Below are 23,922 nucleotides of genomic sequence, written 5' to 3'. Positions count from 1 at the left end.
TTCTACTAGGACCGTATGGTACAAATTACTGTGTTTTAAAGTTACTTGGAATAGTTCTCTATGTGGTTTTGTCATCACTGGATATATAGTTAATATTAGTTGTTTCGGCCAGGCGCGTTGGCTCACGCCTGTAATCCCAGCACTTTGGGAGGCCGAGGCGGGTGGATCACGAGGTCAGGAGTTCAAGACCAGCCTGGCCAAGATGGTGAAACCCCGTCTCTACAAAAAAAAAAAAAAAAAACTACAAAAATTAGCCAGGCGCAGTGGTAGGTAGGTGCCTGTAATCCCAGCTACTTGGGAGGCTGAGGCAGGAGAATCACTTGAACCCAGGCGGCAGAGGTTGCAGTGAGCTGAGATCGTGCCACTACACTCCAGCCTGGACGACAGAGTGAGACTCCATCTCAAAAAAAAATCAGTTGTTTCTTTTTTAATCTTTTTTAAAATGAGGTTTTCTTTTTTTTCTTTGAGATAGAATATTGCTCTGTCGCCCAGGGTGGAGTTCAGTGATGCGATCATAGCTCACTGCAAGCCTACCTCCCAGGCTCAAGTGATCCTCAGTCCCTGGAGTAGCTGGGACCACAGGTGCTCACCACCATGCCCAGCTAGTTTTTTATTTTTTGTAGAGATACTGTTTCACTATGTTGCCCAGGCTGGTCTCGAACTCCTGGGCTCAAGCAATCATCCTGCCTTGGCCTCCCAAGGTGCTGGGATTACAGGAGTGAGCCACCACACTAGTCAATTTGTTTCTTTTTTTGCTTTTGATTTTGATAGATTGGTTCCTATCCTAAATTTGATTTTGTTGCATCATAATTATATTAAAAAATACAATATATGGCTGAAGTCAAATCTGCAAAACAAGATCTATTCAGAAATCTAGCTCTGTCTCTGATCCTTCCACTCTATTGCCTTTCTCCCTAAATTTTATGATTTATTCTTTCATTGTTTAAATATAAGGCAGTATGTATAGGTATATATTAATATATGTGTGTATTCATATATGGGTGTGTATTCATGTTCTCTCTTATTTAGATAAATGGTAGCACACTATGGATAATTTTCTCCTCTTGCTTTTCTTCGTGTCGCTAACGTATGAGTGCTTATCACATGCCCTGCACAGTGGATTATTTTATTTGCTCCTTATAATGTTGTAAGGTAGATGCATGTGTTACAATTTCTGTTTTATAGTTGGAGACAGAGGTATTTCTGTGTAGACCTTTACTTCTCTGAGTCCCTTTTTTATTTCTTTTTTTTTTTTTTGAGACAGAGTCTTGCTCTGTTGCCCAGGCTGGAGTGCGGTGGTGTGATCTTGGTTCACTGCAAGCCCCACCTCCCGGGTTCACACCATTCTCCTGCCTCAGCCTCCCAAGTAGCTGGGATTATAGGCGCCCGCCACCATGCCCAGCTAATTTTTTTTTTTTTTTTAAGTAGAGACGAGGTTTCACCATGTTAGCCAGGATGGTCTCCATCTCCTGACCTTGTGATCCACCCGCCTCAGCCTCCCAAAGTGCTGGGATTACAGGCGTGAGCCACTACGCCCAGCCTTTTTTTTTTTTTTTTTTTTTTAAAGAGACAGGGTCGCTCTGTACCCAGGTTAGAGTTCAGTGGTGCGATCACAGCTTACTGCAGCCTCAAACTTGGGCTCAAGCAATCCTCCCACCTCAGCCTCTGTGGTAGCTGGGACAACAGGTGCCTGCCACCACTCTCAGCTAATTAAAACTTTTTTTTTTTCTTGTAGAGACAGATTCTTGGTATATTGCCTAGGCTGGTCTTGAATTCCTGGCCTCAAGTGATCCTCACGTCTCGGCCTCCCAAAGTGCTGAGATTATAGGCATGAGGCACTGTGTATGGCTGCTATGATTCCCTTTAACCCCCATAGTAACTAGTCGTGACCCTTGTGTGCATATTCATGAGCAAATGAATGAGCAGGGAATTAACTTCTCTATTTACTTTACTTTGAGCAATGATGGGAGCAGAGAAAGGCTGTTTCCAAACTCTAGAGAAGGAAATTCAACGCTTTCTTTATTTGAAGGTTATGGCTCTCTGTAGCTGGAGAAGAATAATAGTAAGAACTTATTCCCTGACCAGAGTTGCTCCCAGTAATTACACAGATACATTAAGTTGGAAAGTTCTTTAATCTTCTAAAAATAAGAGTTCCTTTATAACAGTACAGTGACAACTTGGTAAATCTTCCTCATTTTAGAGTCTTTGTGTCATGAAAGTTATAATAAACTAGGGTAGCTAAGGAAAAGGACAAACTCCTTTAAAAGCAACAGCTCGTGGAAAATATCTACTAGTTAATGATTTCACAATTTTAATAGTGACAGGAAGAAAGGAGAGTAGCTTCATTTCCCTTCAGATGGGAAAGAAAGGAGTATTGGCTGCTTTTTATTTTATATCCAGCTGGAGGAAGGGGTTAGTTACCCTTCAGGCTCTATTGTGATGTCAGGCAGCTGGTTAAGCTGTTGTAGCTGCCCCCACCCCTTCCCGGATTCTGTCAAGCTTCAGAGGGTATTGCTGAGGGAGGTGGAGGGCATCCAGGGTCAGAGGCTACTCTTTTCCTTTTGAAAATCTGTGAGCCTATGAGTTTTGAATGTAGTGAGACTCCTAGTGCAGCTGAGATCTTGGGCAGGTCACTGAGCCTCAGTTTCCATATTTTCCTTTTCATTGCCACATAGTAATACCATCCTCACAGATCGTGGTGTTTAACAACCATTGACTCCTTTACACCTGAGTGGTGAAAACATTTTAGCAAGAACAACCAACCAACACACCAACCAACCCAGCCTGTGACAGCAGGTCTGGGACATAAGAAAGGGATGCTGGTAGGAGAGAGGTGTGGAAAGGATCTTGCAAAATATCACCATAGTTAAGTGCTGATGAGAAGTACGTTCCACCTCTACACTTTCACTGGGTCTAGCTTTGCAAGTCTGATTGTTTTATAGCTTGCCTTTGATGCGTAGATACTCTAGGGTTTTTTTTATTTTCTTATTTTTGTGAGACAGAGTCTCGTTCTGTCACCCAGGCTGGAGTGCAGTGGCATGATCTCAGCTCATTGCAACCTCCACCTCCCGGGTTCAAGCAATTCTCCTGCCTCAGCCTCCCAAGTAGCTGGGCTTACGGGCACCCACCACCACACCTGGCTAATTTTTGTATTTTTAGCAGAGATGGGGTTTCACCATGTTGGCTAGGCTGGTCTTGAACTCCTGACCTTCGGTGATCCACCCATCTCAGCCTCATGCTGGGGTTACAGGCATGAGCCACCATGCCCGGCCATGATGCTCTAGGTTATGACCACTTGAATTTCAGACTGTTTTAGAAGAGGTGGTATTTATTTATATCTCCAGTGTTCTAGTGCTGGATGACTCACTGACGAGTATGTCCCGGAGAGGGCACTCACTTCTCAGTATGATACATTCTGTGCCATTGTATCGTCGTTGAATAACACAGTGATAATCCATGTGCCTGGCGTTTTGGGGAATGAGTCTTTTACGTAAGTGACTTCTGAGGTAACTACTTATTTGAACATCAGATCCTTACAATTTTAACCTTTTCTTTTGATTAGATGGCTTGATCATATTATTTTGTACTCTTTGCCAGGGTGAGAATCCTAGACATACTCAGTTGTTCCTTGGTGACTTAGGGTTGTTATGAACATCATTGATTGATCTCCTTTTAGGTAATGTGGAGGTTTCTTTTGGGGCTAGTGGGACTACATAGGCCCTATTGAGTGGTTCTGGATTGCTATATTGTTCGAATTCTTATTTCTGCTATGATATTTCCTTTCATTGCTCCCTACCATCTTCATGCTAGTTTTCTCTTGCTTTATCCTATTTCTGGGATCCTGTACCTCCTACTTCCTCCTGTACTTTTCTTCTTTTTTTTTTTGAGATAGAATCTCACTCTGTCTCCCAGGCTGGAGTGCAGTGGTGTGATCATGGCTCACTGTAGCCTTTATCTCCCAGGCTCAAGTAATCTTCTCACCTCAGCTCTCTGGTAGCTGGGACCACAGGTGTGCGCCACCATGCCTGGCTAATTTTTAAATTTTTGGTAGAAACCAGGTCTCTCTTTGTTGCCTGGGCTGGTCTCAAACTCTTGGCCACAAGTGATCTTTCTGCCTTGGCCTCCCAAAGTGTTGGGATTACAGGCATGAGACACCATGCCCGACTATTTTGCAGTTTCTAATCTGCTTTTTAGTTAAGTAACTAGATAAATAGAATCGGCTCTAAATAAGACTTAACTAAACTGAGTTAGAGTCTGAGCATCTGACTAAATTAAGAAACTTTAGTGTTTTTCCTTTTTAATGTCAACTTTCTTATTTTTTATTTTATTTATTTATTTATTTATTTGAGATGCAGCCTTGTTCTGTTGTCCAGGCTGGTGTGCAGTGGCATGATCTCGGCTCACTGCATCCTCCACCTCCCAGGTTCAAGTGATTCTCCTGCTTCAGCCTCATGAGTAGCTGGAATTACAGGCGGGCACCAACACGCCTGGCTGATTTTTGTATTTTTAGTAGAGACAGGGTTTCACCATGTTGGCCAGGCTGGTCTCGAACTCCTGACCTCAGGTGATCCATCCACCTCGGCCTCCCAGAGTCCGAGGATTACAGGCGTGAGCTGCCGCGCCCAGCCTAATGTCAACTTTTTGAACGAAGTATGCCATACATACAGAAAAATATATATGGCGTTAGTGTACAGCTTGATGTATTATCCTAAAGTGATAATTTGTCACCCAGATCAAGAAATAGGACATCTCTAACACTCCAGAAGGTACCCTTTCTGGAATGTTAGACTGTCTTCTAACACCATCCATTAGATCGTCTTCTAACACCATTGATTAAACATAGACTGTCTTCTACCACCATGGATTAGTTTTGTCTGTTGTTGGACTTTATTATGAGTGAAATAAGTATATATTGTTTTAAAAACAGCTTTATTGAAATACAGTTAACCTACGATTTAATTCATCCATTTAGTGTACAGTTCGATTATATTCTTGGAGTTGTGCAAACATTTATCACAGTCAATTTTAGAACATTTTTAATTATCCCCCCCAAAAACCCCATACTCATTAGCAGTCACTCCCTATTTCCCTGGAATATTCCAGCCCTACATGAACACTAAGCTACATTGTGTCTCTATCTAGTCTGGGTATTTCAGATAAAAGGAATCATATATGTGGCCTTTTGCATCTGGCTTCTTTCACTTAGCATGGTATTTTCAAGATTAATCATGTTGTAGTATATATCGTACTACATTTCTTTTTATAGCTGCAAAATATTCTATTATATGAATATTTCACATTTTGTTTATTCATCTGCTGATGGACATTTGAGTTGTTTCTACTTTGGCTATTATAAATAATGCTGCTGTGAACATTCACATACAGATTTTTATGTGGAGATATGTTTTTGTTCCTCGGGTATATTTTAGAGATGGAATTGCTGGGTCATATGGTAACTGTGTTTAATTGTTTGAGGAGCCGTCAGGCACTTTTCCAACATTGCTATACCATTTTATTCCCACGAGCACTGTGTGAGGGTTCCAGTTTTTCCATATCCTCATCAACACTTGTTAACGTCTGTCTTTTTCATTATAGCCATTTGAGTAGGCGTGAAGTGGTATCTCATTGTGGTTTTGGTTTGCAATAAGTATATATTCTTTTGTGTCTGGGTTCTTTTGCTAAAATTTGATATTAGATAACATCTATTTCTGTAAGAGTAGTGTCTAAAGTTTTGTAGAAAACATGGAAAATATATGCAAGTTGAAATAATAAAATTGACTTACTTGCCTTCCCCTCCCCTGTGTGTGCATAACATAATTGATATCAAACCATATATCCAGATTTTCATCATGTGATCTTTATTTTGTATTGTCTTATGAGTAATTTTCGTCATAAAGACTTCTCAGATCATTATATGAAGGTACTGTAACCTATTTTTGGACATGTAGATGGCTTCTGGTTGTAATGAATGTATTTTGTACATAAATCTTTCACTTTTCATTATTTCTTGAGGCTATATAAAACGAGGAAATTCCTTTCAGTAGTTACCTATTTCAAAGGCTCTTAAATCATATTATTACCTTATTTACAGAAGGATTTTACCACTAGCATTGTTAAGAATGTGTGGTACCCCACTGTTGTAATTAAAAAAGAAATCTTTAAGTTGTTAAGTAGAAAATAGCATTTCATTGTTTTAATTTGCATTTCTTTGGTTAGTAGTGAGGGAGAACAGCTTGATCTATTCTTTGAAGTTACTATATGATAGTAACATTTTGATACTAGGGAATTGCCGTATTTTGATTTCACACTCTTCTCTTTGTTTGCTGTCTGTATATTCACACACTCATCCATTTAGCATCCACATAAGACAGGCAGATGACCAAGGCCTGAACTGACTAGAATTGGTAAAGATTGGGCCGGGCCAGGCCAGGCCTAGGCTGGGAAGGTTCTAAATTGTACTTTGCTAGGAGAAGACTGGAGCCAGGATGAGCTGGAGGTGTCTGTGTTGGTTTTTAGGAGATCTGATTCTTGTGTCCAGGATTGAAAGAATGGGCGGAGGCTGTGATTGATTGGAGGCCTAAGAGTCAGCCTGGCTTGCCTGTCAAGTATCCATAGGGTTGGCTGTGTAGAGTGCCACAGCAGGTCTGTGACTTGCAAGCGTCTCAGGCAGTTAAAATTTACTGGGAGTACTCTGGGTTTATGGCGATGTGAATGCATAATTTATAGTGAAACTTGCTGGATCTGCTTATGAATAATCTCCCTTAGTTACTACTAAGTGATATTGCAGTTATAAAAATGCAATAGCAGAATAGTGAGTCAATGCAAGGTTATTTCCAGAATATTTTGGATCTCCTTATAAAATCGGCTGTTCAGTTAAAAACATTTTAGGTCTCTTATAATAAAATGTCAGTGTATTCAAAATCAAGAGGATTTTGCCTCTTGTGTGTGTATATATAATCTGTGTGTGTTTATAGAAGAAATATATGGATCTTTGGCTTAGGGGTAGTTCAAGGCCTTATCTCATTTTTCCTCTAGTCCTTGCCTTTCCCACCTTATTCTGCCTCCTGGGATGTATAGGTCACTTTACTTCCACTTCGGAGAGGAGCACCACTCAGCGAAGAACATTGATTGGCTCTTGTGCTGTGGGCAGGGTCATTGTGCTGAGTTCGTATGTCTGTATGTTCCTCCTCTACCTTCTTTTACTTGCTCAGAAAGCTGCCACTGCCATTCTTTTTTTCTCTTCCTAGGTTTAAGCATTCATCTCCCACCACCTGGCAAGCCAGGATGGCCTGAAAAGGCCGCTGGATGTAGCTGTAGGGATACATTCTTTTTCTCTCTCTAATTTTTCTTTGATGCTGGCTGCTGTCTCTTTCCCCAGTGGTTAAGATCCAGAGGTTGGTTTGGGCTTTGGGTTTAGAGTTACTATAAATGGAAAACTTTCGTTTAAAGCTCCATAGGTCTGTCTCTTGTTTTTAAACAGCCTGAGATATCATTGACATATAAAAATTGTGTATATTTAAAGTGTACAACTTGATGCTTTTTAAACCCTCAACCATTTGTAATGTTTCATGACAGGAATATATAATAATTTATTAGATATTTAGATGGCTTTTCAGTTTTAACTTTAACTCTTTCAGATTATCATTCTTCCTGTATGATGACCAACTTGCATTGGGACTGGACGTTTGCTTTTTTGTGTTGATTGTAAGTCAAAATTTCCCCCCTTCCTCCTTAAAAAAAGGGTTTGTTTTACTATAGTTTTGAATTGTAGATTGTGTTGGAAAAATGAGAAAGAGTCCAAAAAGAAGATACATTTGAGTTACTTGAGTTAGTTGATTGGGTAGTTAAATACATTTTGGTGACCTGAGCTGACTCTAAACTTGGAGTCAGCAAGTCTTGGCCACTTAAGTTGTGCGGGGAAGGATGGACTATTGGTGGAATTAATCTCCACCAGAAGAGCAGCTTGAGCATTTAAGGTGAAGAACACCCCCTTTACATTACTGATGAAAGACAGATGGAGTTCCCTAAAGCCAGATCTTTGTCTCTGGTGTGTTTGCTTTCTCTAGCATCCTGGGACACTTGGGCAGGACATAGTTCTTCACATGCTGCAACTTGATCTTTCTACATCATCTGCATTCCTCCTTATTTCTCAAATAACATGCCAATTAGATAAACGGCATTTTTGTTTCTGGGCCATATTTCAGTCATAGGAAGAAATACAAATTGCAACAAAACAAAAACTGCTAAACAAGGAGTTATTTAAGAGCAGATAAATTCCCTGAAGCCTCAAGGTTGGTGCAGCTGTAGCTCAGTCGTGCTTTATGTCTAACTGAGAATTGACATTTAGAATGAAGAACCTGAGCCCTGTATGATGCTGAGTCCTATATGGGGACAAATCATTTTAAGGTACTTTGTTGAAGAAGGATTATGGGCAAAAATATTTTAAAGCTTTTTTAATCAGCTGAGGTTGAACAATAGTGGTAATTGGCCGGGCACGGTGGCTCATGCCTATAATCCCAGCACCGTGGGAGGCTGAGGCAGGCGGCTCACTTGAGGTCAGGAGTTTGAGACCAGCCTGGCCAACATGGTGAAACCCATCTCTACAAAAAATACAAAAATTAGCTGGGCATGGTGATATGCGCCTGTAATCCCAGCTGCTTGGGAGGCTGAGGCAGAAGAATCGCTTGAACTCGGGAGGCGGAGGTCGCAGTGAGCTGAGATTGTGCCACTGCACTCCAGCCTGGGGGACAAAGCGAGACTGTCTCAAAAAAAAAAAAAGAAAAAAAGAAGAGTGATAACTTTGAAAAGTTACTTTCTTTCTCTGAGGCTAAGTTTTTTCATCTATAAATAAGAATACAGCATAGGGAATTTCCTAAGGGTGAATTTATTTATTTTATTTTATTATTTTTTTGAGACAGAGCCTTGCAGTGTCACCCAGGCTGGAGTGCAGTGGTGCGATCTCAGTTGACTGCAACCTCCGCCTCCTGGGTTCAAGCGATCCTCCTGCCTCAGCCTGTAGAGTAGCTGGGATTACAGGCATGAGCCACTGCACCCAGCCATTAAGGGTGAATTTTATAGAAAATAACATCTATAAGCAATAAGCGTAATGCCTGATACAGTATAAGCACTCAATAAGTATTAACTGTTATTGTTACCCTTTGCACCAAGCACTGTATTTGCTAGGTATTGGGGAAGTAATATTGAGTAAGACATTATTCCTGTTCACTGTCTAGTGATACATGTGAGATGGTATGTCCTAGAGATATGAATAAAACGTAATGTAAGAAGTCATATAATGCACTTATGACAAAGGAGCCTCCCATAAGTTTTGGTGCTTTTGGAAGTGAAACTCCGGAGCTTTTCCAGTGTGGCTGTGTTCGTTCTCAGACTTGGCTTCACATTAGAAATAGTCATTAAAAATAAGTCACACTTGAAAAAAAAATTAGCAGTGGGCTGCTGCCAGGACATGGTTTTTATTTTTAACTTTCCCCAGGCAATTCTAATGTGCAGCCAGGATTGAGAACTAATGCTTTAGATATTTTCTCGTTTTCTTTATCTTTGGCATTTTTAAGGATTATGTAGTATCATAGGGTGATTCTTTTCTTTTTTTATTCTATTTTTCAAAACTAACATAATAGCATCTGTACAGAGTTTTAGACTTTACAAAATGCTTTTATGATCTCATTAAAGCCTTACAGTAATCCTTTTAGAAAAGCATTCCTATCACCATTCCCATTTTGCAGAAAAGATGACTGAGGCTCAGAGAAGCACATGTTAAGTAAAAAATGGTAGAAAGTTCGGGTGCAGTGACTGACACCTGTAATCCCAGCACTTTGAGAGGCTGAAATGGGAGGATCACTTGAAGTCAGGAGTTTGAGACCAGCCTGGCCAACATGGTGAAACCCCATCTCTACTAAAAATACAAAAATTAGCAGGACGTGGTGGCGTGCACCTGTAGTCCCAGCTACTTGGAGGCTGAGGCAGAAGAATTGCTTGAACCCGGGAGGCGGAGGTTGCAGTGAGCTGAGATTGCACTACTGCGCTCCATCCTGGGCAGAGAGAGACTCCATCTCAACAACAACAAGAACAGAGAGAGACTCCATCTGAACAACAACAACAACAAAAAAAAAAAGAAAAGGAAAAAAATCAAACGTAGTAGAATGAGAACTTGAACCCTGGTATTCATAATCCAGTCTTTCTTTTTCTACTGCATAGTTTCTAGCAGAAAGTTTTTACCATTGTGTAAGTACTTACTTGGAGTCTTCTCTTGCTACTTGTATAATCTGTTGGGACAACTTTTGCTCCTTGTTTGTCTGGCTGAATCCACTTATAGGATATTCCTTTCACTATTTCTCCCTTTTATCCTGGCTCTTGACCATACTTTAACCCTTAGTTTTGTGGTTTCACGAGTCAGTTATAATTTCTTGAAATGCAGTAACCATTATTCAACCCCTTTATTACAGCCTTTTCTTTTGGGTGAGGAATGCATACTTTACTAGTCGTTATTCAGCAATGAATCCTTGCCACCAGCTCTTTGTGGTACATATGAATTTGCTTAAAATCTGACACTAATCTTATAGCAGTGCAGATATTCTTTGCTATGCAAATCTGTTTGGTTCCTGAGTTTGGATCCTGAGAACATGGATATGATGGACACCTATACTTGAGTTATCCTATGCTTGGCCCTTGTGCCTGGAAGGATCAGGAGCTCTGTACAGGTTGAGTATCCTAAATCTGACAATCTGAAATCTGAAATGCTCCAAAATTTGAAACTTTCTGAGTACTTACATTATGCTCAAAAGAAATGCTCATTGGAGCATTTTGGATTTTGAATTTTCAAATTTGGGATACTCAGCTGGTAAGTATAACACAAATAATTAGAAATCGAAAAAAATATGAACTCTGAAATACCTTTGGTTCTGAGCATTTTGCATAAGGGATACTCAACCTGTACCAGGAATAACATGCTTTTCTCTGTGGCCAAATGTGAACAGAGTCCAAGGAATGTGTGTGGCATTTGCTCCTGTCCTCATCAGGTTGTCTTTCCATCCTGGATGGAAGCCCCCTTTCCCTGTGCCTCATTTCTTTCTCCTCTCCCACCAGGGTCCCCTGCTTATCTTTCTGAGGAGGGAGAGTGGTTTGAAGGGTGTGGTGGAGGGCATTCCAGCCCTAGGGGAAGTACATATGAAAGCCTAGAGGCCTTAGGGTCCCTTTCAAGGGCCTTTTGCCCCAGCCAGCAAATATTAGGGGCCTCTCAGTCTTATTTGTCTCCTCTCCCCTCAGAGGAGAAGATAAGGAGGAAGAATGGATGAAGGGCACAGAAGGCCCTATTTATTCTGTGTCCTAGTATGTCATACTATTGCATGGACACTATATTACCATTTTTTCATGAGTCGTATCTGTTTTTACAGTGTTCATCTATTTGTACAAATTTTATCCCTTATGTTTTAGCTAATTATTCTTCATCAACTTAGTAGGCGTCCTGAAAGTAAAATTCAAAAGATGAAACTTTTCTCAAGACAAGTGCTTATTATTTTATTTCCAGCAGCAGCCCATAAACCAGATTTCACTTTTAGATACCACCCAGCTGTTTGCATTTCATCTATTTCTTTTTCTAAAAATGTAAATACTATTGTCTTCCTGAGTTCTTCTGTTTTTTTTGTTTGTTTGTTTTTGTTTTTGTCCATGATCACTGGAAACAAATTTTGTGTTTCTTCTGGCATAGAATCAAAGAAAGTGGGCAATGATTGGGTTTGATGAGTCTTGCAAGCTACCCTTCTTCCCAAAAGAGGAGCCCAACTTCCAGTCATTCATGTCAGACCAGTATTGCCACATCCATTTCCCATGGGTGGAAATCACCAGTGACCGACCATTGCTTTTTCTTCTTCTTCCTGGGGTTAGGTGAAGGATGTCTTGGATCAGTCAGTATCTTTTCCCTGGAGCCTGGGATGCTTCGACCTCTTTACTAGGGCTCTACAGGAAGAAAGACCCTCATGTCTAATTTTATGGCTCTTTTCTGACCCATGTTTCCAACTCTTTTTTTTTTTTCTTTAAGGGAAAAAAATAAAAACATTCTCTCTTTGAAGGGTAAGGAGAAATTTTGTGAAACTTGAAAACCCGGTAAGTGTTTTGCCTTTTACTTTATTATTTAGTAACTATATGCTAAGGATCATCCCAAGTGAGGGGATAATAGGAGCAGGGGTCAAATGTGTTTATAGTAGGATGTATAGGATTTAAGTCAGGAGACCAAGAGACTCAGTTTAATATTTTTTTCCAAACAGAAACACTATACCCACATTCTGTAAAATAGACACAAATATGTAAGATTAATTTTAAGAAGGTGCATGTTCTATTTTTTCTTTTCTTTTCTATTTTCTTTTTATTTATTTTAAATAGAGACAGGGTCTCGATATGTTGCCCAGGTTGGTCTTGAACTGGGCTCAAGCCATCCTCCTGCCTTGGCCTCCCAACGTGCTGAGATCACAGGCATAAGCCAACACACCTGGCCCACATTCTATTTTCTATAGAAATGACATACTTAAATAATTTCTCAGATTGTAGCAATGCTTCTATTTACAGAGGACATTGATAATCAACTTTTTCAAAACTGCAAACATACAGAAAGATTAATTTAGGACATCAAATAAACTAAGGTTTAATTATGAAAAAAAATCGTAAAAGGCAAATCAAAGCAACATCAGATGTGACCAAAAACGTATACCAGATCACTTTCCGGGACTCTTGGAGAAGGGCTTGGGTGAAGATTTGGGATGCAGGGGTCTTATCTGCTCATTTGATGAACCAGGATTCGAATCACAGGTTCAGTGAGTTGCCTCTTGATAACCAGTGGTTTGTGGCAGAGCCGGAGCTTGAGCTTAGGATTCTTGACTCCTACTGCTTTTCTTTTTTCTGTGATACATACTAAAGGATTGGCCGTTAGATTCTTCTATGTTTTGTTTTGTCTGGGGAGTATCTGCAGTGGGAATAAGTTACCATTGTGAGGGGTAAAAAGAGGCAGAAAGAGGACCTTTTGTGTTTGTGTTATTAAGATTTTCTTTTCCTTAAATTTCCTTTAGGGTCTGATATAGTGATTTAGGGTGGGGTTGACCCAGAATGGTTTTTGCCCTAGTTACGAGTATTGTGGACGTTCTGTTACCTGTTGGGTCGTGCCCAACAAACATGTTGTTGAGCAGCCTTGGCACTCTGCCTTAGAACACAGCAGTTGGTGGATAAGTGTGGATGAGTTGAAGTGATCGTGGACAGAAGCGTAAACAAATTTAATGCAGTCTTGATAATTGAACGTAGTCTCCACCCTGAAATCTGAATGGATGCTGTGTATAAAATATCTGCTTTGAAATACAATGAAGAGTTTGATTTCAGTTAATTTGTTTGGAATGTCTATGTTGAAACTTTCTTTTTTTTTTTTTTTTTCCTATTTTTTCCCCATTGGGAGTCAGTTAAGAGAGAGGATTCAGGACAGAAGCTTGCTGTACTTCTGACAGTTTGTGTGGCCCAACTCTATGCCATGAGATTGTCATTACCCCTGTTACACCTAAGAGCTCTTCTTGGCAGTTGTCCTCTACTTTCTTTACAAAATAAACTCAAAAAACCAGGTTCCCTGCCTTCCTGTCTCTGGCTTATCTGCATGCAGGACTATCTTTACCTCCTTCTCTTCCATCTCTCCTACCGACCTTCTGTTTAAGGCCAGTTCCTCTGCAGCCTCTTTTAAATCAATCTCTCCTTTTCCCCTTACCAAAGAATCACCATTTTTTTTTTTTTGAGTAAGGGTCTTGCTCTGTTGCCTAGGCTGGAGTGCAGTGATGCGATCTTGGCTCACTGCAATCTCCACCTCCCAGGTTCAAGCAACTCTCCTGCCTCAGTCGCCTAAATAGCTGGGATTACAGGCGCCTACCACCATGCCTAGCTAACTTCTGTATTTTTAGTAGAGATGGGGTTTCACCATGTTGGCCAGGCTGATATTGAACTCCTGACCTCAGGTCATCCACCCGCCTCAGCCTCCCAGAGTGCTGGGATTACAGGTGTGAGCCACTGCACCCAGCCTGAAGAATCATCTTTATTCAGATATCTCCTTTCTGTTAGCTCTTCCCTTAGCCTGTGGGTCCCTCTGCTCCTGAAGGTCCCCTCCAGATGGTCACAGCATCTTTCCTCCATTCTGTTATAACTGAGCTCCTTGGTGATGAAGAATGATCTCTGGCAGTCATTCAAACCCTTGCCTTGTTTCTTTTAACCCTCTCTGATAAATATTCTGCTTCATTGAGATTATATGAGCAAGCAACCTCTTAATTTGCTATTCTGGAGGATCTGCCTCAGAGCCTGCCTGACTTGCCTTTTCTGCGGTAGTTTTCATTATTGCTTCCGCCTCCATGGAGGTTTGTCTGTCCTCACTTGTATGATGCCACTCTCTCTCTCCTGGCTGCCACCTCTTTGCTTCTTCACGGGCAGCTTTTCCGTGACCTTTTCCAGTGTTCAAGATTCTGTCCCAGCTGCTTCCTCTTCTCACCATATGTTCCCTGGGTTCTGTCTCATGTGATAGGTGTGTGCTGCTCTGATTCAAATTTCCAGCTCGGATCTCTTTCCTGAGCACCAGATTTAACCTCACTTGGGATCATGTTGATACCTCAAATGCAACTTGTTCAAAACTGTGGTCCCCTAATCTCTTCCTCTATTCCTGGTTCATTATCTACCTAAGTCAGAAATGGGAGACCTTGGTGTCATCTGCTTTCCTCTTTCGATCCGTCAGTATAGTGACACCTACATGTTTGTCTTCCATCCCGAGTCAACCAAGGTTTCATTAGTGCTAATGATGTTTTTTTTATTAATTCTTTTTTTTTTTTGGGACGGAGTTTCGCTCTTGTTGCCCAGGCTGGAGTGCAATGGCATGATCTCGGCTCACTGCAACCTCCACCTCCCAGGTTCAAGCGATTCTCCTGCCTCAGCCTCTCGAGTAGCTGGGACTACAGACATGCACCACCGTGCCCGGCTAATTTTGTGTTTTTAGTAGAGACGGGATTTCTCCATGTTGGTCAGGCTGGTCTTGAACTCCCGACCTCAGGTGATCCGCCCACCTCAACCTCCCAAAGTGCTGGGATCGCAGGTGTGAGCCACCACACCCGCCTATTCATTTTTTTAAAATTAGGAAATCTTCTCTTCTGTAGGTCACATTCTTCCATTATACATACTAATGCCTTTGGTTTTGATTCTTCTAAATGAGGGGAACATAAGGCCATAAGCCAAACCATTTCAAGATGGAATAAGATTTTTTTTTTTAAATTATTATTCCTTTTATTGAGATGGAGTTTCACTCTTCTCGTCCAAGCTGGAGTGCAATGGCGCGTTCTCAGCTCACTGCAACCTCTGCCTCCCGGGTTCAAGCATTTCTCCTGCCTCAGCCTCCCAAGTAGCTGGGATTACAGGCATGTGTCACCACGCCTGACTAATTTTGTGTTAGTGGAGACGGAGTTTCACCATGTTGGTCAGGCTGGTTTTGAACTCTTGACCTCACGTGATCCACCTGTCTCAGCCTCCCTAAGTGCTGGGATTACAGGCGTGAGCCACCATGTCCGGGCCGTTTATATATATATAATGCTAAAGGGAGATAGACATGAAGACTGAGAAAAAAGCACTTGAATTTGGTGATTTAGTGGGGAGGTTTTGTACCATGATGAAGACTTCCCATCATGCCTGTTCCTCCTTGTGTACCTGTTTCTGAGATGGCATCCAGTGGTCCCTTCCAGGTATTTGAAACTTTGTTGCTATCAGGATCCTTCTCCCTTGTTCATTTTATTCAGTAAGTTGTGTCAGTGACACCTCCATATTCTCTGTGATATCCCTTTGTTTTTTTCCTCCCGAATCTGAATCTCAAGATCTATAAATGAATATTTTCTTGTTGATTCAGATCAAACTGATCATCAGATTGTGATGCAAATCGCAAATCTGTTCCTTCTTTTCACCTCTGTTATCGTTGTCTTAATTGGAATATAGTAGACAGTTTTTAGTTCTCTGGCCTCCTTTATCATTCTTCAACATTTCACACTGTTGATCACCCTTTTCTTCATGAAGCTCTCTTCATTTGACTCTTGGACACCATTCTCCTGATTTTCTCACAACATCTTTGATGGTTTTTTTCTTGGGCTTCTTTGAGCCTCCCACCTAAATATAGGTTACCTCTGCATTCTGTCCTCTGGCTCAGTCTCTCATAGATGATGTCTGAGCACTCTCAGCCTTAGTTGAGGTTTCTACCACCACCCCCCATCTGTTGAATTCCAAATCTTTGTCCTTAGCATAGACTCCTGCAGTGAGCCCACAGATCTGTATTTTTCAGTTGTTTACCAGATAACTTCCATTCAGAGCTTCTGTAGAACTTCAGCTACAATGGATTCGAAAGGGGGGACTCATTCCGCGAACTCTTTCCTGGACTTCCTCCTTTTTTATTTTCTGTCTTGATGCAGGGTACTACCAGTTGCTCATCATCTAGGTAGGACACCTGAGTGACATTAATGCCTCCTTCCTCCCTCTCCACATTCATTAGGTCACAAATCCTATTGATTCTACCACTTGAATTCCTAAATCTCTCCCAAATCTGCCTTCCCATTCTGTCCTCACTGCTTTAGCTTAGACTGTCATTATTTCTTGCCTCTTTAGTTTGTTTCCTAACTACTCTCCCATTGTACAGTTACCTCCCCTGCTTTCTGTCTTTTTTATTTTTATTTAATTAATTATTTATTTATTTATTTTTGAGACGGAGTCTCGCTCTGTCGTCCAGGCTGGAGGGCAGTGGCACGATCTTGGCTCACTGCAAGCGCTGCCTCCCGGGTTCACGCCATTCTCCTGCCTCAGCCTCCCAAGTCACTAGGACTACAGGCGCCCACCACCACGCCTGGCTAATTTTTTGTATTTTTAGTAGAGACGGGGTTTCACCATGTTAACTAGGATGGTCTCGATCTCCTGACCTCGTGATCCACCCTCCTTGGACTCCCAAAGTGCTGGGATTACAGGTGTGAGCCACTGCGCCCGGCCCCCTGATTTCTCTTTACTCCCATATATAATATGGCTAAAATTTGAGTGCTGGTTATATCTCATTTACAAGTGAAATGTTTGGCATGCATTCTCAAAATCTATTCATCACACTGAGTCATTATTATCCATTTTACTTTGGAGGAGAGTAGTCCCAGGCCTCACAAATAGGAAGTGGGGCAACAGAGATCTGAACTCAGGCTGTATGGTCCAGAGCCCGTGATCTTAATTTACCAGTTCATTTACGGCTCCCTGTGCCATGTTTGACTGGCCTTTAAAATCTTTCCTGAGCTGGCCTCTGACTTTACTGTTTCATCTCCTCCTACTCTGCCTAATCTGTTTACTGTTTGATCTCCTCCCATTCTGTCTAATAGACCTGGAATTTCAGGCCTATTTCTACCTTGTTGGTCTTCCTTGAAGGTGTCATATTGTATCTTTGTTTGTGCATGTTGCTTCCTCAGCCTTGAATCCCTGCCTCTTAATCTTCAAGGCCCAGCTCAAATGACATCTCCTGGAAGGGTTTCTTGTCTGTTAGTTAACACCACCGTCCTCTTCTTAATTAGCCTCTATTCTTTTCCCATGATACACATATACACAACTGCCATATTTATATTTATAGAAAGTTTGTAAATATATATATTCGTATTTAAATAAACTTTTAGGATAGTTTTAGATTTACAGAAAAGTGGCAAAGGTAGCATAGAGTTTCCACGAAGCCCAACTCAGTTTCCCTTTTGTTAATATCCTATGTCACTGTAGTGCATTTGTTATAACTAAGAAGCTAACATTGGTACATTACTATTGATTAAATTTGATACTTTATTCAGGTTTCCCCAGTTAGTCTCTTGTGCGTTTTTTCTGTTCCAGGCTCCCATGGGATAACACATTGCATTTAGTCGTCACATCATCTTAGTCTCTTCTGGTCTGTTATTGTTTCTCAGACTTTTCTTATCCTTGACCTTGATAGTTTTGAGAAGTACCAGTCACATTTTTTTTTTTTTTTTTTTTGGTAGAATGTCCCTCAGTTTGGGTTTTGTCTGATGTTTTCCTTATGATTAGACTGAGGCCATGGGTTTTTGGGAGGAAGACCAGAGGTTAAATGTTCTTTTCATCACATATCAAGTGCACATGCTAGCAACCTGACTTACCACTGGTGATGTCAACCTTGCTCAGCTCTCTGAAGTAGTGTTAGTTACTTTGTTAGTAACTATAAGTTACTTTCTACTCCTCTTTCCATTCTCCTGTCTTTGGAAGTAAGTCACTATCACAAGCCACATTCAAGGTGTAGGGGTGGTAAGCTCTACCTCCTGGAGGGGGGATTATTGATATAAATTATTTGGAATTCCTCTGTAAGGAAGATTTGCCTCTTCTCCCTATTTGTTCATTCAGTCATTTAATTATATCAATTTATACTTTTTTATACTTTGGGTTATAACTCAATATTGTTTATTCTGTTGATCAGATTGTTCCAGCTTTGGCTGTTGGGAGTTCTTTTAGATTGGTTCCTGTGTCCCTTTGACATGTCCCGTGTCCCAGTGTCCTCGAAAGGGCCATTTCTCCAAGGAGCCCTAGTTTTATATTGGAAAATGGTATTAGAAACCAAGATATGGGCACTGGATGTGCACGTTGTTACTGGGGTGTCACTACTTCTTCGCCTTTCAGTGTACAGATATATGGATGTGAACCCAAGTTTATATAAATATCTGTAATTATTTATCTGTTCATCTCTATGTTAAGAAAATAGGAGTTTATACCAACTTCAGCTGATTCATTGCCTTCCCTCCTTGCTTATCTGTAACTTCCCTCTCTGACTATGAGAAACTTGGCATCCATCACCACCATCCCATTAGCTACACTGTAAGCGTGGACTTTCTCCCTGTCCCCCTCACTAGGCTGTTAGTATCTTAGACACTTATTAAGTCTTTGTTGATGAGTGATGAATCTTGAAGTTGTTATGTATCTTACATAATAAAAGTTTAGCATTTTAGCAAAAGCAATGTAAATCAATCTTGTAAAGTTTGAAACAAAACTTTTAACTGCTTTGTTATGTAACATGTATTCATTGTAGAAAATATGAAAAGTGAGAAGGAAAAAAAGCACCTGTTATTCTATCACCCAGAGATAATACTTAATATGTAGGTATGTGTTTAGAACTTTTTCTTTGTATGTATATGTCTACACCCCCCTAAATGATTTTTACAAGAATACATTCACATTTCACACTACTTATTTATAACCTTTTTTCACTTATATAGTATTTCTTAAGGATGTCATGTAGTTGTATCATAATTTAACTGTTTTTACTGTTTCATCTCCTCCTACTCTTAACCAATTCTCTTTTTTAAGATGTCCAAGTTATTACCAATTATTTGCTTTTATAAACCTTGATTAATATTTTCTTAGAAGTCTTGACAGGCTGTTCTGATGATGTCTTTAGATACACTCCTAAAAGTAAGATTGCTGGATTAAGTGTATTTTAAGGGTTCTGGTACATGTTTCTAGGGGTGAGGTTTTTACACTGGCATCTGTTTTTACTTTGCACTCCTTCTGGGAAGTATTCTCTAACACCCTTGAGATCTTGCATCCCTTTTGCGATTATGAATAAATAGTTTTTCTTTAAAGCCAGGAACTCACAGCTGTTCATGGTGATTTATTTACCTGCATAGACTATTGTGTCAAAGAATGCACTGCAGTACCGGGGAAATTCCCAACATGATGCCCAGGAGTTTCTGCTGTGGCTTTTGGACCGAGTTCATGAAGACCTCAACCATTCAGTGAAGCAGAGTGGCCAGCCTCCTCTGAAGGTAAGGACGCATGCTGCCCTAGGGCAGTCAGCCAGCCATGAGAGTGTGTAGATTCTTCTACTGAGGACTTGTTGCATTGCGTTAATACAATGAAATTGACTAAGCTCTGGGTGAGTATAAGATTCAGTGGCTACTTAAAGGACATTTCATTTTGTTTACTACTGTGCTGGCAGTGTAAGATACAAGAGCTGTTGTCCGCAAGGAATTTATAGTCTAATGAGAGGGGAAACATTTGCATGTATGATGAGCTTCAGATTAAAAAAAGTGATTCCATTTCACTAAACTGTTTTTAAAGCAGAATATGTTTGCTTTCTATTCTAGTAAGACACATACTCTGTAGTTCACTGGAATGAATACACAATCATAAAGGAAACGTATGGATTTTCTCTGCTGTTGGGATTGGATTTGACCATAGTAGCCCCAGAATGTTCTTATTGAGAAACATAGCAATTAATTCTTAATTTTATACATGTAGTCTTACAAATATGGGTAAAATGACTTATATAATGGAAAAAAATTAGACTAAAGAGTTGCTTCCCTTGGGCAGCTTTTAAAGTTTTTGATAATTCTTCTCTGTACTTCAAATTTTAAATTTCTAAGTTTGGTAAGTTTTAAATTATTCTGATTCAAGGTCCTTTTGTGCCTGAACACTCTATTCTGTCATATGACTATATGCGTGTGGCTGACTCTCCCACCAAATTGAGACATCCTCAAGGTCAGGCACTGGGTCTTATTATCTTTGTATCCTAATGTTCTGTACAGTGCTCTCTGCATGTGGTAGCAGGTGCTCAGTAACTAATTGTTAGGCGGAGGGACATGAAAAGTTAAATACAACATGAAGTAGAGTGTGATTAGGCACCAACATACAGAGCACAGGTAATAGGTACTAGGGAATTTAGGCATGGGAAGCATTAGTACTTTTTTTTTTTTTTTGAGACGGACTTTCGCTCTTGTTGCCCAGGCTGAAGTGCAGTGGCACAGTCTCGGCTCACCACAACCTCTGCTTCCTGGGTTCAAGTGATTCTCCTACCTCAGCCTCCTGAGTAGCTGGGATTACAGGCATGCGCCACCACAGCCGGCTAATTTTGTATTTTTAGCAGAGATGGGGTTTCTCCATGTTGGTCAGGCTGGTCTCGAACTCCCGACCTCAAGTGATCCGCCCACCCCTGCCTCTCAAAGTGTTGGGATTACAGGCATGAGCCCCTGTGCCTGGCCAATATTAGTACTTTTAAAGTGGTTGGGGATTACTTATTAGAGGAGATTGGGATGGGGGCTTTGAGAATTGGAGGGGAACTGGAGCATCCTGGGGAAGGGGAGCTGCCCGGCTGAGTGCTGTGCAGAGACGATTGCTGGCAGAGTCTGTGTGAGGGGATGAGTCCACGTGACCCACATCCTACTGCTGTGTTCTGGCTCCTTTAGCAGGTGCCCGTCACTGAAGTATCTGCACTTGATGCATAGCTTGTAAAGGAAGTCAAGATCATATGTGATTCTCTAGCTTCATCTTCAACCAAGAATTGGTCTTTCTAGTCTGTGAAGTTGTACTTTCTTTTTTTTTTAGCCACCATCAGAGACTGATATGATGCCTGAGGGACCATCTTTCCCTGTCTGTAGCACTTTTGTACAAGAACTCTTTCAAGCGCAATACAGGTATGAGAAAATCGGATGTTTCCACTTATTTTGTTTACCTGACATCGTTCTGGGTGATTTTAATGTCAAGCGTCTTACCTTTTTGTTTTGAAGATCTTCTTTGACGTGTCCTCATTGTCAGAAACAGAGCAACACTTTTGATCCTTTCCTTTGCATTTCTTTGCCAATTCCTCTGCCCCACACAAGGTAAGAATGGATTTAGTAAAATGAAGACTGTATTTTCTTATGGTATCCCTTTGCCTCTGTAGGCTCCTATTAGGTCTTCTTACTTATTTAGACAGGTAATGGGATTAATAATGGGATTGAATACAGTCATTGCTACAACCTTACAAGAATAAATGCCCTCCTGAGTTTGCAGGGTGAGCAGGCACATGAGGCAAGCAGGGGCTGTGTAGTCTGGCCCAGTTCGTCATCCACACATAGTATCGGGGTTGGGGGACGGGGGCTGCTGAGTGACTTCAGGATTCTCTAGAGACCTTACTTTACATTTCTTGTTTCTTCGTTGCTTTATTTTGAACAATTTCTCAACATTTCCAGGAGTTATGCTGTTCTAAAGAAAATACAAAGCACAGAATCAAGTGTAGATATATTTTTGTTTGCTTCATAGAATGTTCATTTTATGAAGATTGCCTTTTCCAAAGATCTTGATGATTGTTTGACAGTTCTGCTTAGAGCCAAGTGAAATTTTTCCATTTGGGCTTCCGAGTAACAGTGTGGGTTAGCTTTAGTTTTTTGTTGATTTCGTCTCAGGTTTATTTTGCATCTTCTATATTTTAGTTGAAATAAGTGACTAATGAGAAGATCTGACTTTGATCTGTACAGGCCTCTCTATGTCACTGTAGTGTATCAAGGCAAATGTTCTCACTGCATGAGGATTGGTGTGGCCGTACCTCTGTCTGGGACTGTCGCCAGACTTCGGGAAGCAGTGTCTATGGAAACAAAGATCCCCACTGATCAGGTAATAAGTCTGCTAAGACCAGTTACACATGAGCCACAAAAGTATTGCTTTCTGTTCTCTTAGAATTTTTTACAGTTCTTTGCCAAGTATGGTTGGATAGAGATTTAAAACCAGTTGCATTTAGAGTTTAGGGAAAAAAATCAAGGCCCCAAAGACTAAAATGTATATAGAAACTTTTCATGTTTCATTTAATTGTGTATATAATTTTAAAAGAAGCTGTGACTTTACACCAAGACCTTCTTGTAGCTTTGTTCATAAGGTATAATTACTTAACCCTTCTTAAATCATTCCTGTGGATGTGTATGTGGGCAGTGGAGCGTCCTCGCAGTGTTTGAGATAGTCAAAGAGGCTTTGAAAACTTGAGCAGTGACGCTAGAAAACCCCTTCCCATTGTGATGATAAGAGTGGATATCTTGCTAGTACAATGTTCTGTACGTAATAGATGCTCAATACGTTTTGTTTTCTCATTACGGCTGGACCAGAGTCTCTTACCTTGTTTAGAGAAGAGAAAGGAAAGTTGTGCCCATGCCGCATCCCTTTTTGGGGTAAATGTTTGATAAGCAGTTATGTTGAAATTGACCAAAAATACTTTTGACCTGTTTGGACTTGACATGTTTTTGCATATAGCTTTTACTCAATTTACTATTATTATTTTATTTGGAAAAACATTCCTTACTTAAGATTTATTAAGGAAAGATGACTCCGTAGCTAAATTGCTTTCCCTAGATAGTAGCTTCTGGAAGCTACTGTGTAATCCCTGGAATAATAAAGGTGTTTTGTACTTTGGCCTCATGTGGCCTCATTTGGGAAGTTACCACAGTAAAACAAATACAGCCAGCAGTGTTGCCCTAATATGGCAAATATCTCATATTTTTGCAGGCCAAGTACTGGCATGTTGATAAAATGTTCATATTCTTTCCTACTCTGAAAAGCCCATTGGCTCTTTCTTCTCTTCAGGATGAGGGAAAGGCAGAAAGGGAGGGAGCGAGGCTTCGGTGGTGTCCAGGGCAAATCTGGTTGCATCTTTAGAGCTTCCAGCACTGTCTGGCTCCTTTTGCATGTGGTTTAAATTGGTGAAATAATTACAAGTTTGCTGTTGACCTCAGTTTGCTGAAGAGAGTGAATTTTACTTGCTTGTTCACCGGCAGAAAAACAACATGGTCATTAAATTCATTAGAAGGAAAATGTGCCAGGAACATTTTTGCTGGACTATTTGTGGAATATACCACCGACCCCTTTTACCTGGTAGATTTGCAGAATGTTAGTGCTGGTAGAGGGGACCTCATAGGTCTAGTCCAACTCCCTTATTTGAAAGAGGCTCAGAAAAGGCATGTGACTTGTTCAGGTTTGCAGGGCTGGTTGATGACAGGCCGGACCAGAACCTGCATGCCCAATCCAGTGCTTTTTCACTAGACAGCGTGGCTGAGCATATAATGAAGTCTTTAAATGTCTCCAGTGTTCTCCTCTCCATCTTTTGTT

The 23,922-nt window shown here is 40.7% G+C and overlaps 1 protein-coding gene across 7 annotated transcripts in view; it reads left to right on the top strand.

The window, feature by feature from the left end:
• Positions 1–23,922, top strand: part of USP31 (ubiquitin specific peptidase 31) — an 88,047-nt gene that overhangs the window by 21,569 nt on the left and 42,556 nt on the right. For 4 of the 7 annotated variants that reach the window (NR_170599.1, NM_001387221.1, NM_020718.4 and 1 more), the window contains exons 2-5: positions 19,701–19,838; positions 21,397–21,485; positions 21,579–21,671; positions 22,308–22,443. Coding sequence is in view for 6 of the 7 variants with exons in the window: in NM_001387221.1 (NP_001374150.1) it covers positions 19,701–19,838; positions 21,397–21,485; positions 21,579–21,671; positions 22,308–22,443 (456 nt within the window). In the remaining variant the exon portion in view is untranslated. Of the gene's footprint in view, positions 1–12,131; positions 19,174–19,700; positions 19,839–20,469; positions 20,554–21,396; positions 21,486–21,578; positions 21,672–22,307; positions 22,444–23,922 lie in introns of those variants that run through there. The other 3 variants (XM_017023497.3, XM_017023498.3, XM_017023499.3) reach the window with 3 other exon arrangements.

Source organism: Homo sapiens, chromosome 16, assembly GCF_000001405.40.
Source record: "Homo sapiens chromosome 16, GRCh38.p14 Primary Assembly".
In the NCBI taxonomy this organism is placed as follows: Eukaryota; Metazoa; Chordata; class Mammalia; order Primates; family Hominidae; genus Homo; species Homo sapiens.
Note: the sequence above shows the minus strand (reverse complement) of the source record. Positions and strands in the feature narration are given on the sequence as shown.